Genomic DNA, 16,426 nt, shown 5'->3' with positions numbered 1-16,426 from the left:
TGGAAGTAGACTTGAGTTAAGCTCCTGGGTAAAGGGCTAAGAAGGGAGAATATGAAGAGACTTCTAGCCATATTCACTCAAATAGGAGAGAGGAACAGACGGGCCTGTGTGGCAAAGAAGAAAAGGCTTAATGTTTATGGAGCAGCAACACGCTGCAGAAAAGCGAGTCAGATCCTGGGGGATCAAAGGACTTTGTTCAGATGCTGCTGTTGAGGAAGGGCTTCTCCCCAAAATAATTCAGCTTTTTTGATTTACAGACAAAATTTACTCACTTACTGTTTAAAGTTCAGTGCGTTTTTTTAAAGGGTCAACGAATCTTGATAAATATATATACTCATGTAATCACGACCGCATTCAAGATACAGGCCTGTCCATCTCCCCAAAAGCTTCCTGCGGCCTCTTTGCAGTCAGTCTCCCTCCCCAGTAACAGCCCTTTGCAGCCTCTGCTCTGCCCCCATGGCTTGGCTTTTCCTGGATCTACCCGGATCTAATGGAATCATACGGGATGTAGTCTTTGGCGTCTGGCTTCTTTGACTCAGCTCATGTGTTTGAGATTTATGCATGTTATTGTATCTGTACACCTCAGTTTGTTTAAGCATTCTCAAGTTGATGGACATTTGGGTTCTTTCTAGTTATTGGCTGTTAAACTGGTATACATAACTGAATTACATGTAACACAAAATCTTTTTAACAGCTAGATTTCTTTTTTTAAGACTTTCCTATCAGCCGGCTGTGGTATCTCATGCCTGTAATCCCAGCAGTTTGGGAGGCCAAGGCAGGTGGATCACTTGAGGTCAGGAGTTGGAGACCAGCCTGGCCAACATGGTGAAACCCCATCTCTACTAAAAATACAAAAATTAGCCAGGTGTGGTGGCACACACCTGTAATTCCAGCTACTCAGGAGGCTGAGGCAGGAGAATTGCTTGAACCCAGGAGGCAGAGGTTGCAGTGAGCCGAGATGTTGCCACTGCACCCCAGCCTCGGCGACCGAGCAAGACTCTGTCTCAAAAATAAATAAAAATAAAATGTACAGGTCGGGCACGGTGGCTCACGCCTGTAATCCCAGCACATTGGGAGGCCGAGGGGGGTAGATCACCTGAGGTCAGGAGATGAAGACCAGCCTGGGCAACATGGTGAAACCCTATTCTACTAAAAATACAAAAATTAGCTGGACATGGTGGCACATGCCTGTAATCCCAGCTACTCGAGAGGCTGAGGCAGGAGAATCGCTTGAGCCAGGGAGGCGGAGGTTGCAGTGAGCCAAGATTGTGTCATTGCACTCCAGCCTGGGCAACAGATGAGACTCCGTCTCAAAAATGAATTAATGAATGAATAAATTAATAAGTAAAATAAAATGTATAGTCCAGTGGTTTTTTGGGATGTTGTGCAGAGCTGCATTTACCATCATCAGAGCTGTGCTCTGACTCATAAAATGGATCACCGTGGTGGGTTTAGAACACTTTCATCATCCATTAAAGAAACTCCATAACCATTAGTGGTCATTCCCTATTTCTCTCCTCCTCCATCCTCCACACCCACCACCCCTACACCCCAATTCCAGGCAATTACTTGTTTTTGTTTCTGTATGTTTGCCTATTCTGGAGATTTTTCTTTTATTTTTTTAACTCCTCTCATCTAACTGTGAATGTGTGCTCTCTGACCAACCTCTCTCCATCCCCTCTCCCCCTAGCTACCTCAGCCTCTGATAACCACCATTCTGCTCCTAGGAGGTCAGGTTTTTCAGATTCCATATGTGAGCAGGAACATGCAGTATCTGTCTTTCTACGCCTGGCTTATTTCATTTCACATAGCATCCTCCAGTCATGTACAGGTCTTTATGTGGATATATGAGTTCATTTATCTTGGGTCTATTCCCCAAAGTGAAATTGCTGGGTTGTATGGTAAATGTATGTTTAACTTTAAAGACACTGTCAAACTGCTTTCCAGAGTTGCTGTACCATTTTGAATTCCCAGAAGCAATGTATGAGCATTTCAGTTACTCTACATCTTGCCAACACTTGGTATTAATAGTCTTCAATGTTAGCCACTCTAATGGTATCTCTTTGTGGTTTTTATTTGCATTTCCCTAATAACTAATGATAGTGAGCATCCATCTGTTCATGTGCTTACATGAGATTCATAGGTCTTTGGTAAAGTGTCAGTTTAAATCTTTTGCACATTTTGTTTGTTTGGTTTTGGTTTTTTTGGAGAGGTAGTCTTGCTGTGTTTCCCAGGCTGGTCTCTAACTCCTGGGCTCAAGCAGTCCTCCTGCCTCAGCCTCCCAAAGAGGACTGCAGCACCTGGCTGTTTTGCCCACTTTTTTTTTTTTTTTTTTTGAGATGGAGTTTTTCGTTCCTCTTGCCCAGGCTGGAGCGCAGTGGCACAATCTCAGCTCACTGCAACCTCCGCCTCCTGGGTTCAAGTGATTCTCCTGCCTCAGCCTCGAGAGTAGCTGGGATTACAGGCATGTGCCACCATATCCGGCTAATTTTGTATTTCTAGTAGAGACTGGGTTTCTCCATGTTGGTCAGGCTGGTCTCAAACTCCCGACAGGTGATCCGCCCGCCTCGGCCTCCCAAAGTGCTGGGATTACAGGTATGAGCCACCGTGCCCAGCCTTTGTTTTGCCTACTTTTAATTGGATTGTTTTTCTTCTTCTTGAGGTGTGAGAGTTCTTTGTATATTCTGGATAACAGTCCTTTATCAGATAGCTATTTTGTAGATATTTTCTCTGTCTACATTTGCCTTTTCATTTACTCACCCGAGTCTTTTGAGAGTAGGTGTTTTAAATTCTGAAGTCAAAACTTATTCATGTTTTCTTTTATTATTTGTGCTTTTTGTGTCCTATCAAAAGATTTCTAGAAAGTTTAACTCTTATATTTGGATACATTTTGAGTTAATTAGTGTATAGGGAGTGAGATAAGAGGTTTTTAAAAATCTATTTTTTTTGCATATGGATATGCAGTTGTTCCAGCACCATTGTTTAAAAGTCTATAGATTCCCCATTGAATTACTTTGGCATCTTTATTGAAAACAGTTGACCCTACAAGTAGGGGTCTACTTCTGGACTCTGTTCTGTACCATTGATTTTTTTAACTAGTTTTTGTTTTTTAATTGAAGTAATTCACACAACATAAAAGTCACCACTTTAAAGTATACAAGTAAGTGGGTCTTAGTATATTCACAAAGTTGTGCAGCCCGCACCACTAATTCCATATCACGTTATCTCAAAAAGAATGTTCCATCAACCTTAATGCATATCTTTTCTCTAATTCCACACTGTCTTGTTTATTGTAACTTTGTAGTTAAGTATTGAAATAGAAACTTCGGGCTGGGCATGGTGGCTAAAGCCTGTAATCCCAGCACTTTAGGAGGCCAAGTCTGGCAGATCACTTAAGGCTAGGAGTTTGAGACCAGTCTGGCCAACATGGCAAAACCCCATCTCTACTAAAAATAGAAAAACATTACCAGGCGTGGTGGTGTATGCTTGTAGTCCCAGCTGCTTGGGAGGCTGAGGCATGAGAATCGCTTGAACCTGGGAGGTGGAGGTTGCAGTGAGCCAAGATTGCAGTGAGCCAAGATTGCATCACTGCACTCCAGCCTGGGCAACAGAGCAAGACTCCACCTCAAAAAAAAGAGAAACTTTGTTCAGCTTTTTCAGTGTTGTTTTGGCTATTCTAGATCCTTCAAATGTTTATATAAGTTTTATTTTTTAATTTTTGTGGGTACATATTAGATGTGTATATTTATGGGTTACATGAGATGCTTTGATACAAGCATGCAATATGAAATACGCACATCATGGAGAATGGGTTATCCATGCCCTCAAGCATTTATCCTTTGAGTTATAAACAATCCAGTTACACTCTTTAAGTTACCTTTTATATAAATTTTAGAATTAGCTCATCAATTTCTACAAAAAAAAAACCCCTGGGATTTTCATTAAGATTGTGTTGAATGTCTACCTCAATTTGGGGAGAATTAACATTTTTACTGTGAAAATTATCCATCAAAACATGGTATATCTCTCCATTTATTTAGATACTAAAATTCTCTCATCAGTGTTTGGAATTTTCAGTGCACAGGTCTTGCACATATTTTGTTCAAACAATTGGACCCTAAGTATTTCAGATTTTTTGGTGATACTATAAATGATAATGGATTTTTAAATTTCAAGTTCCAGTTTTCCCCTGTTAGAATATACAAATACAATTGATTTTTGTATATTGGCCTTATATCCTAAAACCTTGCTAACCTCATTAGTTCTAGTAACCTTTTGGTAGATTTTCTTAGGATTTTCTGTACTGACAGTTATGTTAACTGCAAAAAAGATAGTTTTCTTTCTTTCTGAAGTGTATGCCTTTTATTTCTTTTTCTTCCTTTATTAGCCTGGCTAGAACCTCGAGGATTTAGAAGTAGGAAGAGTGGACGTCCTTGCCTTGCATCCAGTCTCAAGGGAAAGTACTTGATTATTCACTACAAAGAGAAGGATGTTAGCCATAGGTTTTTCAGAGACTTAACCTTTTTAGTAGATCGAGGATGTCCTCTTTGATTTCCAGTTTGCTAGGAATTTTTATCTCAAATTTGCTGAATTTTATCAAGTGCTTACCCTGTATTTATTGAGATCGTCATGTGGTTTTTCCATTTTAATCTGTTTCTATGGCATGGCAATTCATTGACTGATTTTTAAATATTAAACTACGTTGCATTCCTAGGATGAAACATTAGTAATGATGTATTATCCTTTTAACATATTGTTGAATTTTGTTAGTATTTGTTCAAGACTCTTACATTTATGTTTATGATGGACAGTGGCCTGTAATTTTTTCTTTTCTTTTTCTTTTTTTATTTTTTGAGACAGCGTCTCTCTCTCTTGCCCGGGCTGGTCTTTAACTGCTGGCAGATGATCCTCCTGCCTCTGTCTCCCAAAGTGCTAGGATTACAGGTGTGAGCCACCATACCCAGATTTTTTTCTTTTTAAAAAAAACCTGAGATGGGGTCTCACTCTGTCACGCAGGCTGGAGTACAATGGCACAATCACAGCTCACTGCAGCCTCGACCTCCTGGGCTCAGGTGATCCTACCACCTCAGCCTCCCAAGTAGCTGAGACTGACTACAGGCATGCACCACCATGCCCACCTAATTTTTTGTATTTTTTGTACAGACAGGGTTTTGCTGTGTTGCCCAGGCTGGTCTGAAACTCCTGGACTCCAGCAGTCCACCTGCTTTGGCCTCCCAAAGTGCTGGGATTACAGGCATGAGTTACCATGCCTGGCTGTAATTTTCTTTTCTACCAATGTCTTTGATTTGGTATCAGGTACTACTGGCTTCATAAAAGGAGTTGAGAAGTGCTCCTCCCTCTTTGATTTTCTGGAAAATTGTTTGGTATTTATTGGAAAACATTGGTATTATTTCTTCCTTAAGTGTTCAATAGATTTCACCAATGAAGCCATCTGCCTCTGGGCAAGGGTTTTTAACTGTGAGTAGATACAGGGCTTTGCAGGTTATCTACTTCTTCTTGAGTGAGCTTTGATACTTGAGACCTTTTGAGGAATTTTTCCATTTCAGTTAAGTTGTAGAATTTATTGGTATAATGTTGTTCATTATGTTCCCTTATTATCCTTTTAACGTTTGTTTTATAGTGATGTTCCCTCCTTGATTTCTTATACTGATGATTTCTTTTCTCTCTCTCTCGTTTACCTATAAAAGTAATAGAGCAGTACAATGATTCTCATATATCCATCACCCAGTTTCAATAACTATCGAGCCTTTGCACACATGCCTTATCAATTCCCTCTTTTCTTTGATATGCTGACATATTTTAAAGTATGTTCCAGACGTGATATTTTCAAATGCTAGATACTTCCATATGCGTCTCTGAAAAAATAAGGATATTTTCTTACAGGACCACAATGCCATTACCATACCTTAAAATATTAATCGTGATTCCTTGGTAGACTCTTATTACCTAGATTTACCTGTAAGATTTTCCTAAGTGTCTCAAAAATGTCATTGTGTATAGGTCATATCTTCAAATCAGAATCCAAACAAGGTCTGTACATTTACCCATGGCTGTACCTGAAATCGTTAATGTAAGGGAAATCACCCTCACTTTTTCTAATGCAATAAACTGTCTTATAATCATTTCTCCCCTAAAATGCCTCACATTCTGGATCTGTCTGCTTCTAGTTGGTATCATTTAACTTTTCTGCAATAGGAGTTTTTTCAATCTGAGAGGACTAAATGATGACTTGGAACTTTCTGAACCCCTGAGAAATGTACCTTGGCTTTCATCCCCTGGGGGAACATAAAGGAAGGGTGGGCAACTGTCCATCTCAAGACCTGGGAAATATCTGGTTTCTGTGTCCAGTTCAGGCCAGGCAATGTCCATGAAGCCTTTGATCTCCATCACCTCTGAATTCCACTTAATTATGTGTAGTACTAACTATATGTAGTAATTAATTATGTATCTTTGTTCATTGTGTTTCCTTTGTGTAGCTCTGGCCCTTGAAAAATCTGTCCTCTACTGTTAATCTTTGTTTTTAAGGCTTAGTGTACATTTTATGAAAGTATACCATACGTTAGAAGAGTGCAAGATTCCTGTGGACACACTGTGTACCTGGCCCCTGGCACAGAGGTTCATTTTGGCTGTTACTACCTTTTTTTTTTTTTTTTTGAGATGGAGTCTCGCTTCGTCACCCCCGCTGGAGTGCAGTGGCGCGATCTTGGCTCACTGCAACCTCTGCTTCACTGGTGCAAGCGATTCTTCTGCCTCAACTTCCCAAGTAGCTGGGACTACAGGTGCACACCACCACGCCTAGCTAATTTTTGTATTTTTAGTAGAGATGAGCTTTCACATTATTGGCCAGGCTGGTCCCGAACTCCTGACCTCATGATCCAGCTGGCTAAGCCTCCCAAAGTGCCAGGATTACAGGCGTGAGCCACCATGCCCGGCCTGCTACTTCTTTACCTTCAGGTAAACTTGTCCTGCAGTGTGTGCCCTTGTCTGGCCGCTCTCAGGTGGTGCTGCTCATGGTGAATGCCATCGTGTTGCTGCCCCTATTCATTCTTGTTGCCATAGAGTATCCCAGGTATACCACAGTTGACTGGCCCATTTGACTGTTGGTGGACATTTCAGTTGTGTCTGCTTTGGGGATATGACACCTGGTGCTGACCAGCACATTCCCATTCTTGCCATTTTGGTGAACCTGCATTCACATTTTTGCCTGCATCTGCCTGGGAGTGGAATTGCCGGTCCTTGGGGACACACAGGCTCAGCTTTCCTAAAACTGCCACGCAGTCTTCCCTGGGGATTCACTGCACAATATTTTAAAACCCAGATCTTGCCATGCACCTCCCAGGCGTAGTGCCCTCGAACGGCTCTCATCACACAGAAGCCGAAATCTGACTCCATAAGATACCATGGAAGGCCCTTGGAGGCCCGGGCCCTGCCTCGCCCTGCCTGCTGGCATGCTTTCTGTTCCCCCAACAGCCCACCGTCCCCTCTGCTCAGGTCCCCCTCCCCTCCCCAGCCACCCGCCACCTGGCCTGCCTGCTCCTGGGTATCCCCAGAGGCTCTACTGCTTGCCTGGGTCGCCCTCTCCTGCAGGACACTTGACACCTGGTCCTGATGCGGGACTCATTGTCCCCACTCTAGAGTGTCCTCTCATCAGCAGCACTCAGCATCTCTGCCACCCCACCAGGCTGCAGCTTTTTACGAACAAGGACTGTTGCTTTTTCTGTCTTTGGATGCCTGGCCCGTCCTAGATGCTCAGTACCTCCTGAATGAGTGAATGAATGAATGGCCTGTCAGCCAGCCTGGACGTCCTGAGCACTGGGCAGATGATCTTAACAGAAACATTAAGTGGCTGGCAGGCACTCCTGGCCTTAGAAAACCTTTACATCTAGCTTTGGTTTTTAAAGTTGGAAAGAAAAGGACTCAAAGCACAGCCCCTTGCACAGGAACAATAGGTGGGGATTGATAACAAGGCTCACGACAGGTCACCGTCTTGACATCTCAGAATGGTTGTGTTTGCTGGGAGAACCAGCTAGAGCTTCAGTCTCTTCTTCAACAGAGAACTTCCCCGTCTGTTTCTCCTAGTTGACCACAGAGTATGTTGGGGGGTGGCGTGTAGATTTTGGATCAATCCCTGGCTTAAATCCAGCCCATAACAGCTTTGCTGTGTCAGTTAAATAACTCTTCTGAGCCTCAGTTTCCCATGTGTGGGATGGGACAGTAACACCTGCCTCGTCACGGGGCTGTTGGAGGCCCAGTTTGTGAATTCCTCATTTCCCCAGGAGAGAACAAAATCAGTTCCTGGAGAGCCCCTGACAGCCCCCATCCATTGAATTTTCTTCTTCTCTCCTGGGGAAATTAGAAATTCACAGGGCAAGTTTCCACCAGGCTTTGCCTTCCTGAGAGATCTGGCCTGGACCACACTCAAAGCTTGCCCTGCACATGGCTGGGAGAAGGGTCAAGGGCCCCTCAGGTGCGGGTGGCTGTAGAGCCAGCATGGTCTGGAGGGAGTGTGCCCACAGGGAGCTACCCCAGCCAGGCAGCACCTCCTTTCCTTCTGGGGTGCTAGGCCAGGGGAGGAGGTATAGCCTACCTCTTTGTACTGGTCTTGCCCCCTCTGAGAGACAGAGACCTGCTCCCTAGGGAATTGCCTTTAGATGGGGGCAAAGGGAAGGGAGAGAAATTCCTTAACCTGAAAATAAGTATAATCATTGTTATATTAAAACAACGCCAAATTTGCATGAATTTTAAAGAAAAACCCTGTACATCGAAGGGATGGGAGCACCTTCTTTGGGCAGCTGTGCCCCGTTCCTCAGCCCTTCTCTGCCTGGGCACAGGTGCCCCCTGGACAGCACAGCCTGGGGGTCCTGGATTTTAGGGGACCCACTCAAAGGGCCAATAAAGGGTTGAACACTTTTAAGGTGCTTCAACTAGGAGTTTAGCTACCCCTTAGCTATTTTGTGGTTACTGAAGCATGGCCCCCAGGAGAAATCCCTTTTTCCTTCTTTTCTGGGAAGTTCCTGGGAGCCGAGGGGAAGTCTGTTAATACCAGTTCTGGCAGGTGGGAAGAGGCTAGTGGCCTCCTCACCTTGCCACGGGCGCTGGTCCCTCCCTGGGGAAAAGGTTTTCTTGGCTTGGACAGCTTAGGGGCAGAGAGGAGAACATCCTTGGTTTTATCCTGTCTGTGTATATATACATTATGGGTTTTTGTTTTTTTTTTGAGACAGAGTCTCGCTCTGTCGCCCAGGCTGGAGTGCAGTGGCGTGATCTCGGCTCACTGCAAGCTCCACCTCCCGGATTCATGCCATTCTCCTGCCTCAGCCTCCCGAGTAGCTGGGACCACAGGCGCCCGCCACCACACCCGGCTAATTTTTTGTACTTTTAGTAGAGATGGGGTTTCACTATGTTAGCCAGGATGATCTCAATCTCCTGATCTCATGATCCACCCGCCTCGGCCTCCCAAAGTGCTGGAATTACAGGCATGAGCCACCGCGCCCGGCCTTGTTGTTTTTTAATTAAGAAAGTAGTTTTGGATGAGAGAAATGATAAAACTTTTATATACTCCTCCCAAAAAAGTTAAATGCCTCACATGTGTGAGCTGTTCAATTCAGAAAATGGCTGAGTAAACATGATTTTAACTTCATGACTGAAAGAACACTGTAAATTTGGGGAGAAAAAACAACAACTCCATAATGAAAAACAAAGCGGCTGTTCTGCTGTTTCTGAAGCGAGTGGATTGGAGAAAGCGCCTCAGTGGGAGGAGCCGCCTCTCTCCCTAATAACCACACAGCAACAGCTGGGGCTTTGCACGTTCTCTCGGGGCATTCCACTGTCTCGGGAGTGGCCTGTGCGTGGGCCTTTAAGTGCTTTTTCAAAAGCCAAGTATATACCCAAATGTGCTTTTAAATAATGTCTAGGGTCCTGGGTTCCACCCCCAACACTGGGGAGGCCAAGGAGTTGTAAACCCAAACACTGGCGTGTTTGGCTGCAGCCTGGCCTGGCTTTTGTCGGCGGTTTCTGGCTATAATGGTGCTTTTAAAAGTGGTGTGTGTGTGTGTGTGTGTGTGTGTGTGTGTGTGTGTGTGTAGAGTATAATCGGCTCGGATTTAATTCATTCAGCGCATCCAGTTTCCTTAGAAGGGCCAGTGGTGTGTGTGTGTGTGTGTGTGTGTGTGTGTGTGTGTGTGTGTGTGTGTGTGTGTGTAGAGTATAATCGGCTCGGATTTAATTCATTCAGCGCATCCAGTTTCCTTAGAAGGGCCAGTCCCTCCAGCTCAATGCCTTTTTCTGGAAGTTTTGGCCTCAGAATTCAGGCTGTCCGGCCAGCACACAGTGGCCGGCCGTGCGTTCACGTTCAGGACTCACAGGAATGTGGCAGATGGACCCACTCTGTGCAGGGGCTGTAGAAGCTCGCTCAGGGACACATGCCGAATTGCCTTCCCCGCTCCCTTCTTCCTTGTAGTTGAGTCTTAACTTCGCTCTCAGCCATTTTAATTGAATTTAACTTGGGGTAATTATACAAGCACTGAAAGGATTTGAATGCTTTGGGAACAAGATAATTTATACAAAAAAACTTAATCAGGCTTAATTTTGAATTCTATGCTTTTATCTTTAAAAATGTTTATTTTTTTCAAATGTGTGAAAATGGCATTGTGTGTATGTGCTCATGTGTGTTGGGGATGAGGTCTCATCTCCTTGGGTGCACTGACGTAAGCAATGGACTTTTCTAGAGTTGCTTTCCTTTCTTTTATCTGCCACCTCTGGCTATATGATCTCCAGGTAGTTAGCATCTTTTTGGAGGGTTTAAACTGGTTTTAATAATATTCTTAGCGAAAGGTGATGCTGAAGGCAAACCTGTTATTACTACCAAAACGAGTCCTGCCTTACAGAGCCCACTGGAGGCGGAGTCTGGCTGGGCCCTGACCCAGCTCCCTGCCGCTGGCACAAGAGACCAGCTAGCTATGATACAACTTGTTGCCCAGTTTTCAATGGCCAGTTGGGTTCCTTTTAGCTCCTGATTTCATGTTTCTGGGCAGTGGGATATAGGGCCCTGCCTGGCAGTGCCAACCAGCAGCGAGCCCTGGATTAGAATGGCGCTGTGCTGGTTTGAAGTGGACAGACGAGCAGGTAGGGCCACATGGGTGGCTGTTGATTTATTTATTTATTGAGACGGAGTTTCACTCGTTGCCCAGGCTGGAGTGCAATGGCACAATCTCGGCTCACTGCAACCTCCGCCTCCCAGGTTCAAGTGATCTTCCTGCCTCAGCCTCCTGGTGTAGCTAGGATTACAGGCACCCACCACATCTGGCTAATTTTGTTTTTAGTAGAGACAGGGCTTCACCATGTTTGGCTGGTCTCGAACTCCTGACCTCAGGTGAACCACCCGCCTCAGCCTGCCAAAGTGCTAGGATTACAGCCGCGAGCCCTTGCTCCTGGTCCATGGGTGGTGGTTTCTAAGCTGCGCTCAGCCTCCACGCGTAGTGGAGGTGGCATTCCTAGGGATTTTAAATTTGACATCTTGCAGTTGTATTTGGTGGTTATCTTTGAAAGTATTCTCTGAAATACTTTGACTAATTCATGCTGATGCATTTATTCTGCTCCACAATGTTGGGTGGTGGCCTCCCTGGTTGGCTCTCCTGTGGACCCTGTGTCCCCTGGATGTGCCTGCAGTCTATCCCACCCTGTTGTGGCTTTGCCTTGCTTGGCCTGGGCCAGGAAGGCCTCTTCCCAGATGTTTGACAGGAGTGTGGCTTTGACCTCTGTTTATCAGCTCTCGGTTCTTACATTTTTTTAATTTTAAACTTTAAGGGCACAAGATAATTGTTCCTGTTTATGGGGATCTCACTATTTTTGTACCCACTGTGTGCAGTCCCTCTCCAGGGGACTTGATCCTCCCAAAGCAACCAGATGGCTAAGCTGCTAAATACAGGGCGCGCTGGCCCAAGCCTCGCCAGGGGCCTCACCTGTATCTTTAATTTGTATTTCTTCACTTTTAAGTAGGTTTAACTTCCTATTCTTACATATTCTCATCCTTCTAGAATATTCTGTCAGCAAACCACCTAGAGAAGAGAATGACTGTGATATTTTGTAATTGTTTTGTGCTTCTTCTAACTTAAAGTTGGATTCTCTATTTCTCACTTAAGAAGGCAAAACAGTAATATAAAACTATGTTCATCAATACAACCTTAAGATGTTTCTAAAAAACAAAACACTAATATATATTTTATTCCTGTTTCAAACTCAAAGTATTTCTAGCCCAAAGGTTCCAAATGAAAAGCAGCCATGCTCTAGAAAAATGAACAGCAGAAAGGCACAGGTGGCATTCCCAGGCCTCCCTTGCCTTCTGCCGGAGTTGAAACAATCCAGACCTTTGGGAGCACACAAGGTAGACGAGAAGTTGCCTGCCATCAGCCAGACCTGGGTGTCCTATTTAACAAGTGGAGAGCGGGCTGGGACAAGCCACAGATTCTTGGCTTTTCCCGGCTGCCCGGGGTTTTGCTGCCCCAGGCAGAATAAACATATTTTGAGCAACTGCCAGCGTGTGATTGCTGCACCGTCTTCCAGCAGGCCTGGAAAAATACTCTAAAAGGCAAACCGTTTGCTGTGTTTCTTCGTGGGAACTCACTGCTTAGTCAACAGCTGGTGTGCATGGGGCCTGGGTGGGCAGAGAAGGCCCTGGTCTCCACCCCAGTGCCCAGGCCTGCAGGGATTACGGCCATCTCATGCCTCTGGGCCTGCTCGACCTTGACCCTGCTGCCAAGAGATGTCTCGTTCTTGTCCTGTTTTATTGAATGTCTCCAGAAAGCAAGTGAGTGTAAGGGAAGCCAGCACAAATCTGTAGAAATGCTTTGGACAGACTTGGGTACTTGTGGAAACCCTAAAGAAAAGATGAGGAGCTTCAGCTTCTGATTCGGGGCTATGAAGCCTGCTGAGCTCCGACAAGAACGCACACGAGTGACAGTAAGCGCAGACCAGGCCTGCGCGGGGCCTGCCTGCCTCCCGTGAGCTCATTCAGTCTTGTTTTTAGATTACCTTTTTTGAGGTATAATTTACATACAACAAAATCCACAGATTAAGTGCACAGATAGGTCAATGATTTTGACAAATGTATCCCCCATGGAACCGCTGCCCAATCAGTATAAGGAGCATTTCCATCTCCCCAGAGGGCCCTGTGTCTGCGGCAGCAAGTACCCCACCCCCTCTGGTCTGGGTGCTGTCCCGGGAGGTGAGTTTTGCAGGTTCATTGTCAGTGGCTGTGATGGGGGCTGATTACATCCCGCCTGGCTACTCTGCACGTCCTGCTTCTGCCCTGCTCCCGGGCCTGGTCTGAGGGTCTGGAGACCTGGTTGTCTTGTGGGAAGGAAGAGGTGGCAGAGCCGGCACTGAATCCAGGGCCTATGAATGTGCCCCCAGGGCTATGTTTGAACCTGTAGGGTTTGAGAGACAAGGAGAACTTGAAGGATTCCCAACAGCCTGAAGGCCCATCGTGCCTCTTTGGGAATCTGGGCTGAGTGGGATGGCCCCTTGGCTTCCTGCAGTATTTATGAAGTGCCTACTGCATGCGCCGGGCCGTGCCAGATGACGTAGGGGGGTGAAAGGAAGAGAAGGCGAGACCTCGCCCTCGAGGAGCTGTGGTTTAGAGGCATGAGGATGGGCCATGCGACTCCCTTGCTCGAAAAGCAAGAAAAGGTGCAGTCGAGAGACCTAGAAGAGGCGGCAGCCCTTTCCTCTGCTGACTCGCAGCTCAGCCTCGCAACTTGGCATGGAGGGTTTTAGTTGTTAAAAACTAAACATTATTTTATTACATATTCCATATTTGTTATTATTTATTCAGAGACAGGGTCTCACTCTGAGGCCCATGCTGCAGTGGTGAGATCATGGCTTATTGTGGCCTTGACTTCCTGGGCTCAAGCGATCCCCCCACCTCAGCCTCCCAAAATGCTGGGATTACAGGCATGAGCCACCGCACCCAGTCTATTTCCTTATTACAAAATTCTCAGCATGGAGTTTTTCATTCATCTTTATGTTTATGTTGTACAATATCAGTTTTAAGTTTCAGTGCATTTAACTCGTGGAATCACAGAAATGACAGTTTTCATAACTTACACATGCGTATTTCTTTTTTTTTTTTTTTTTTTTTTTGAGACAGAGTCTTGCCCTGTCGCCCAGGCTGGAGTGCAGTGGCGCCATCTCGGCTTACTGCAAGCTCCGCCTACCGGGTTCACGCCATTCCCCTGCCTCAGCCTCCCGAGTAGCTGGGACTATAGGCGCCCGCCACCATGCCCGGCTAATTTTTTTTGTATTTTTAGTAGAGATGCGGTTTCACCATGTTAGCTAGGATAGTCTCGATCTCCTGTCCTCGTGATCCACCCGCCTCGGCCTCCCAAAGTGCTGGCATTACAGGCGTGAGCCACTGTGCCCGGCCATCTATTTCATTCTTATCAGAAAGTTAACTGAGCTGTTTTTCACCTCTTGAGGTGCACATATTCTATCAACACTGTCTGCCTTCACCTACTGATGATGGAGGAAAAGAGGGGGAAAGGCACTCTGGGTGGCCCAGCAGGTTGCCCTGGCTTTCTGTGTCATTTTCCGAGTATGTGGTTGGCTGACGCATGTGTAGGAAGGGACATGATGGGGCCTTTGGTGTCTGAATTCTCCGAACCCTTACTTCCTTCTGTAGGGGGAACAGGTTCTGCTTGCAATGGGAAGTGCAGCAGCTCACCCAAGCTTCACCCTAATGCCAGAAAGCCCCACACCCTGGGTCTACCACGATCCCACACTCCTGGGCTCTCCACTCACAGGAGTGCTGTGTTATTCCAGCAGGCTTCGCTTTGCTTACAAAATACAAAGACAAAATCGGGAATTTCAGGATAGTGGCAGCTTCTGAGTGCCAGTTCCATGGCACATGCCAGGCAGGCAGGCAGCCCAGGGTGTGCTTAATAAACCCTGAGGGCACCTTCTAGATTCAGGAGGCCACGGCAGATGTGACTGGAGCCTGGTATGAGGGCAGCCCAGGCCACTGGCTGCCTGGGGCCCTGGAGTGCTTGGGGGCAGTGAGGGGGTGCCCTCCTCCAGGGGCCCTGGGACGTGGAGGTCAGGAAGGAGGTCAGGAAGGGACGTGAAGGCTCTGCTGCCCTTGCCTGGGTCGCCTTGTGTGTGAGTCACTTCACCTCTGCCCCAGCTTCCCCATCTGCAAAAGGGGGGAGAAGCTGGGAGTGAAGCGGCCTCACCATGTGGTTTGGAGCACCAGGTGAAGAATGTAAGTAAAGCACTTGGCATGGGGTGGGCATGGAGTCAGGGCTCTCCCTTGGGGGTGGCGTTGATCCCCCGTGAGCCACAGGTAGGTCCGGCAAGTGGAGCCAGGTTCCTGAGGCCGTGCCTGCAGGTTGGCCCTGTGTGACGAGGTTGACGGCATCTCCAGTGTTGGGCCGCTGGCCGCCTGCCCAGCATGTGTTCCTGGCTCTGCCTCCTGCTGCCGCCTCCGCTGCGCCTTCTGAGTGTCACACCAGGAGGCAGCAGGGGCTGGCAGCACCTCCGCTCCTGCTGCCGTGCCTGGAATTTGGGGCCATGGCCCTGGCCGGTTCTCCATCCTGCCTGTTTGCATAGAGCTCGTTCCCTGGCCTGGCATCTTGGGATTTTCCAGTGATTCCTTTCCATACTTGAAGCAGACATGGGGATGCAGGGGATGGTCATGTCTGCGTTGTTGGTCACTGAACATTTTAAAGGTGGCAACACAATTGCCTTTAAAGTGATATGGCATGAAAAAAATCGTTATTTATATTTGGCATGGCCAAAGAGTAAAAACTCAAGGGATGGTTGCTGAGGAGCATTCAGGAGGCCTGGGGTGGCATCAGGGACCAAGTGTCCGTTTGATTTCACAGACCCGTAAGTGTTCAGTGTCTTGAGCGAACTGTGAAGAGGAGACCCTGGCCTCTGATTTCAAAGGCGCCAGCGTTTTACCGGGGCCGGTGCAGATAATGGAAGAAAGGTGTTTTGCCAGGGACTTTTCCGGGGTATGCAGTGGGGCTGGTGAGGGGTCTGCCTTAGCAGGAAGCCCTTGCCTTTGCTGTAAAGAAACTAGCAAGCGACAAAACGAAAGCATCAAAGAGCCAACAGGATGCGGCCCGAGCCCTCCCTGGCACGTTGCCCCGAGCCGCGCGGGGAAGAGTGACCTTAGGGCCCGCCTCGCGCACACAGGCCAGGCACAGGTTGAAAGTTCAAGGCATTTTGTTTTTTCACCTGTTTCCTACAGTTCTAAGAAACTTCTGAAGAATTAATGTGTAACTATATCAGACACTCGGCGTTTTCTCCAGGGAAAATAATGTTACAGTGGGGGAGGGAGGGGAAGTGGCTACTTGATGAGACACAAGAAGGTTTCCATAAAGTAAGAAAAACCCTCTCTAGGGGAAAC

General features: G+C 46.5%; 1 protein-coding gene across 2 annotated transcripts in view, besides 4 other annotated features; it reads left to right on the top strand.

Annotated features, from left to right (window-relative positions):
* The window catches only part of GGACT (gamma-glutamylamine cyclotransferase), a 58,610-nt gene that overhangs the window by 28,271 nt on the left and 13,913 nt on the right, over window positions 1-16,426 (top strand). The window lies entirely within an intron of this gene.
* Window positions 12,472-13,149: an enhancer, noted in NCBI's record as "H3K27ac-H3K4me1 hESC enhancer chr13:101199624-101200301 (GRCh37/hg19 assembly coordinates)". NCBI's record gives its function as "activates a minimal SCP1, AML or CMV promoter by ChIP-STARR-seq in naive H9 embryonic stem cells {active_cell/tissue: H9 hESC(naive)}" and the evidence as "EXISTENCE:reporter gene assay evidence [ECO:0000049][PMID:30033119]".
* Window positions 13,150-13,828: an enhancer, noted in NCBI's record as "H3K27ac-H3K4me1 hESC enhancer chr13:101198945-101199623 (GRCh37/hg19 assembly coordinates)". NCBI's record gives its function as "activates a minimal SCP1, AML or CMV promoter by ChIP-STARR-seq in naive H9 embryonic stem cells {active_cell/tissue: H9 hESC(naive)}" and the evidence as "EXISTENCE:reporter gene assay evidence [ECO:0000049][PMID:30033119]".
* Window positions 14,577-15,299: an enhancer, noted in NCBI's record as "H3K4me1 hESC enhancer chr13:101197474-101198196 (GRCh37/hg19 assembly coordinates)". NCBI's record gives its function as "activates a minimal SCP1, AML or CMV promoter by ChIP-STARR-seq in naive H9 embryonic stem cells {active_cell/tissue: H9 hESC(naive)}" and the evidence as "EXISTENCE:reporter gene assay evidence [ECO:0000049][PMID:30033119]".
* Window positions 15,300-16,023: an enhancer, noted in NCBI's record as "H3K4me1 hESC enhancer chr13:101196750-101197473 (GRCh37/hg19 assembly coordinates)". NCBI's record gives its function as "activates a minimal SCP1, AML or CMV promoter by ChIP-STARR-seq in naive H9 embryonic stem cells {active_cell/tissue: H9 hESC(naive)}" and the evidence as "EXISTENCE:reporter gene assay evidence [ECO:0000049][PMID:30033119]".

This window comes from Homo sapiens, chromosome 13 (genome assembly GCF_000001405.40).
Source record: "Homo sapiens chromosome 13, GRCh38.p14 Primary Assembly".
NCBI classification, from domain to species: Eukaryota; Metazoa; Chordata; class Mammalia; order Primates; family Hominidae; genus Homo; species Homo sapiens.
This window is presented reverse-complemented; position numbering and strand designations above follow the sequence as displayed.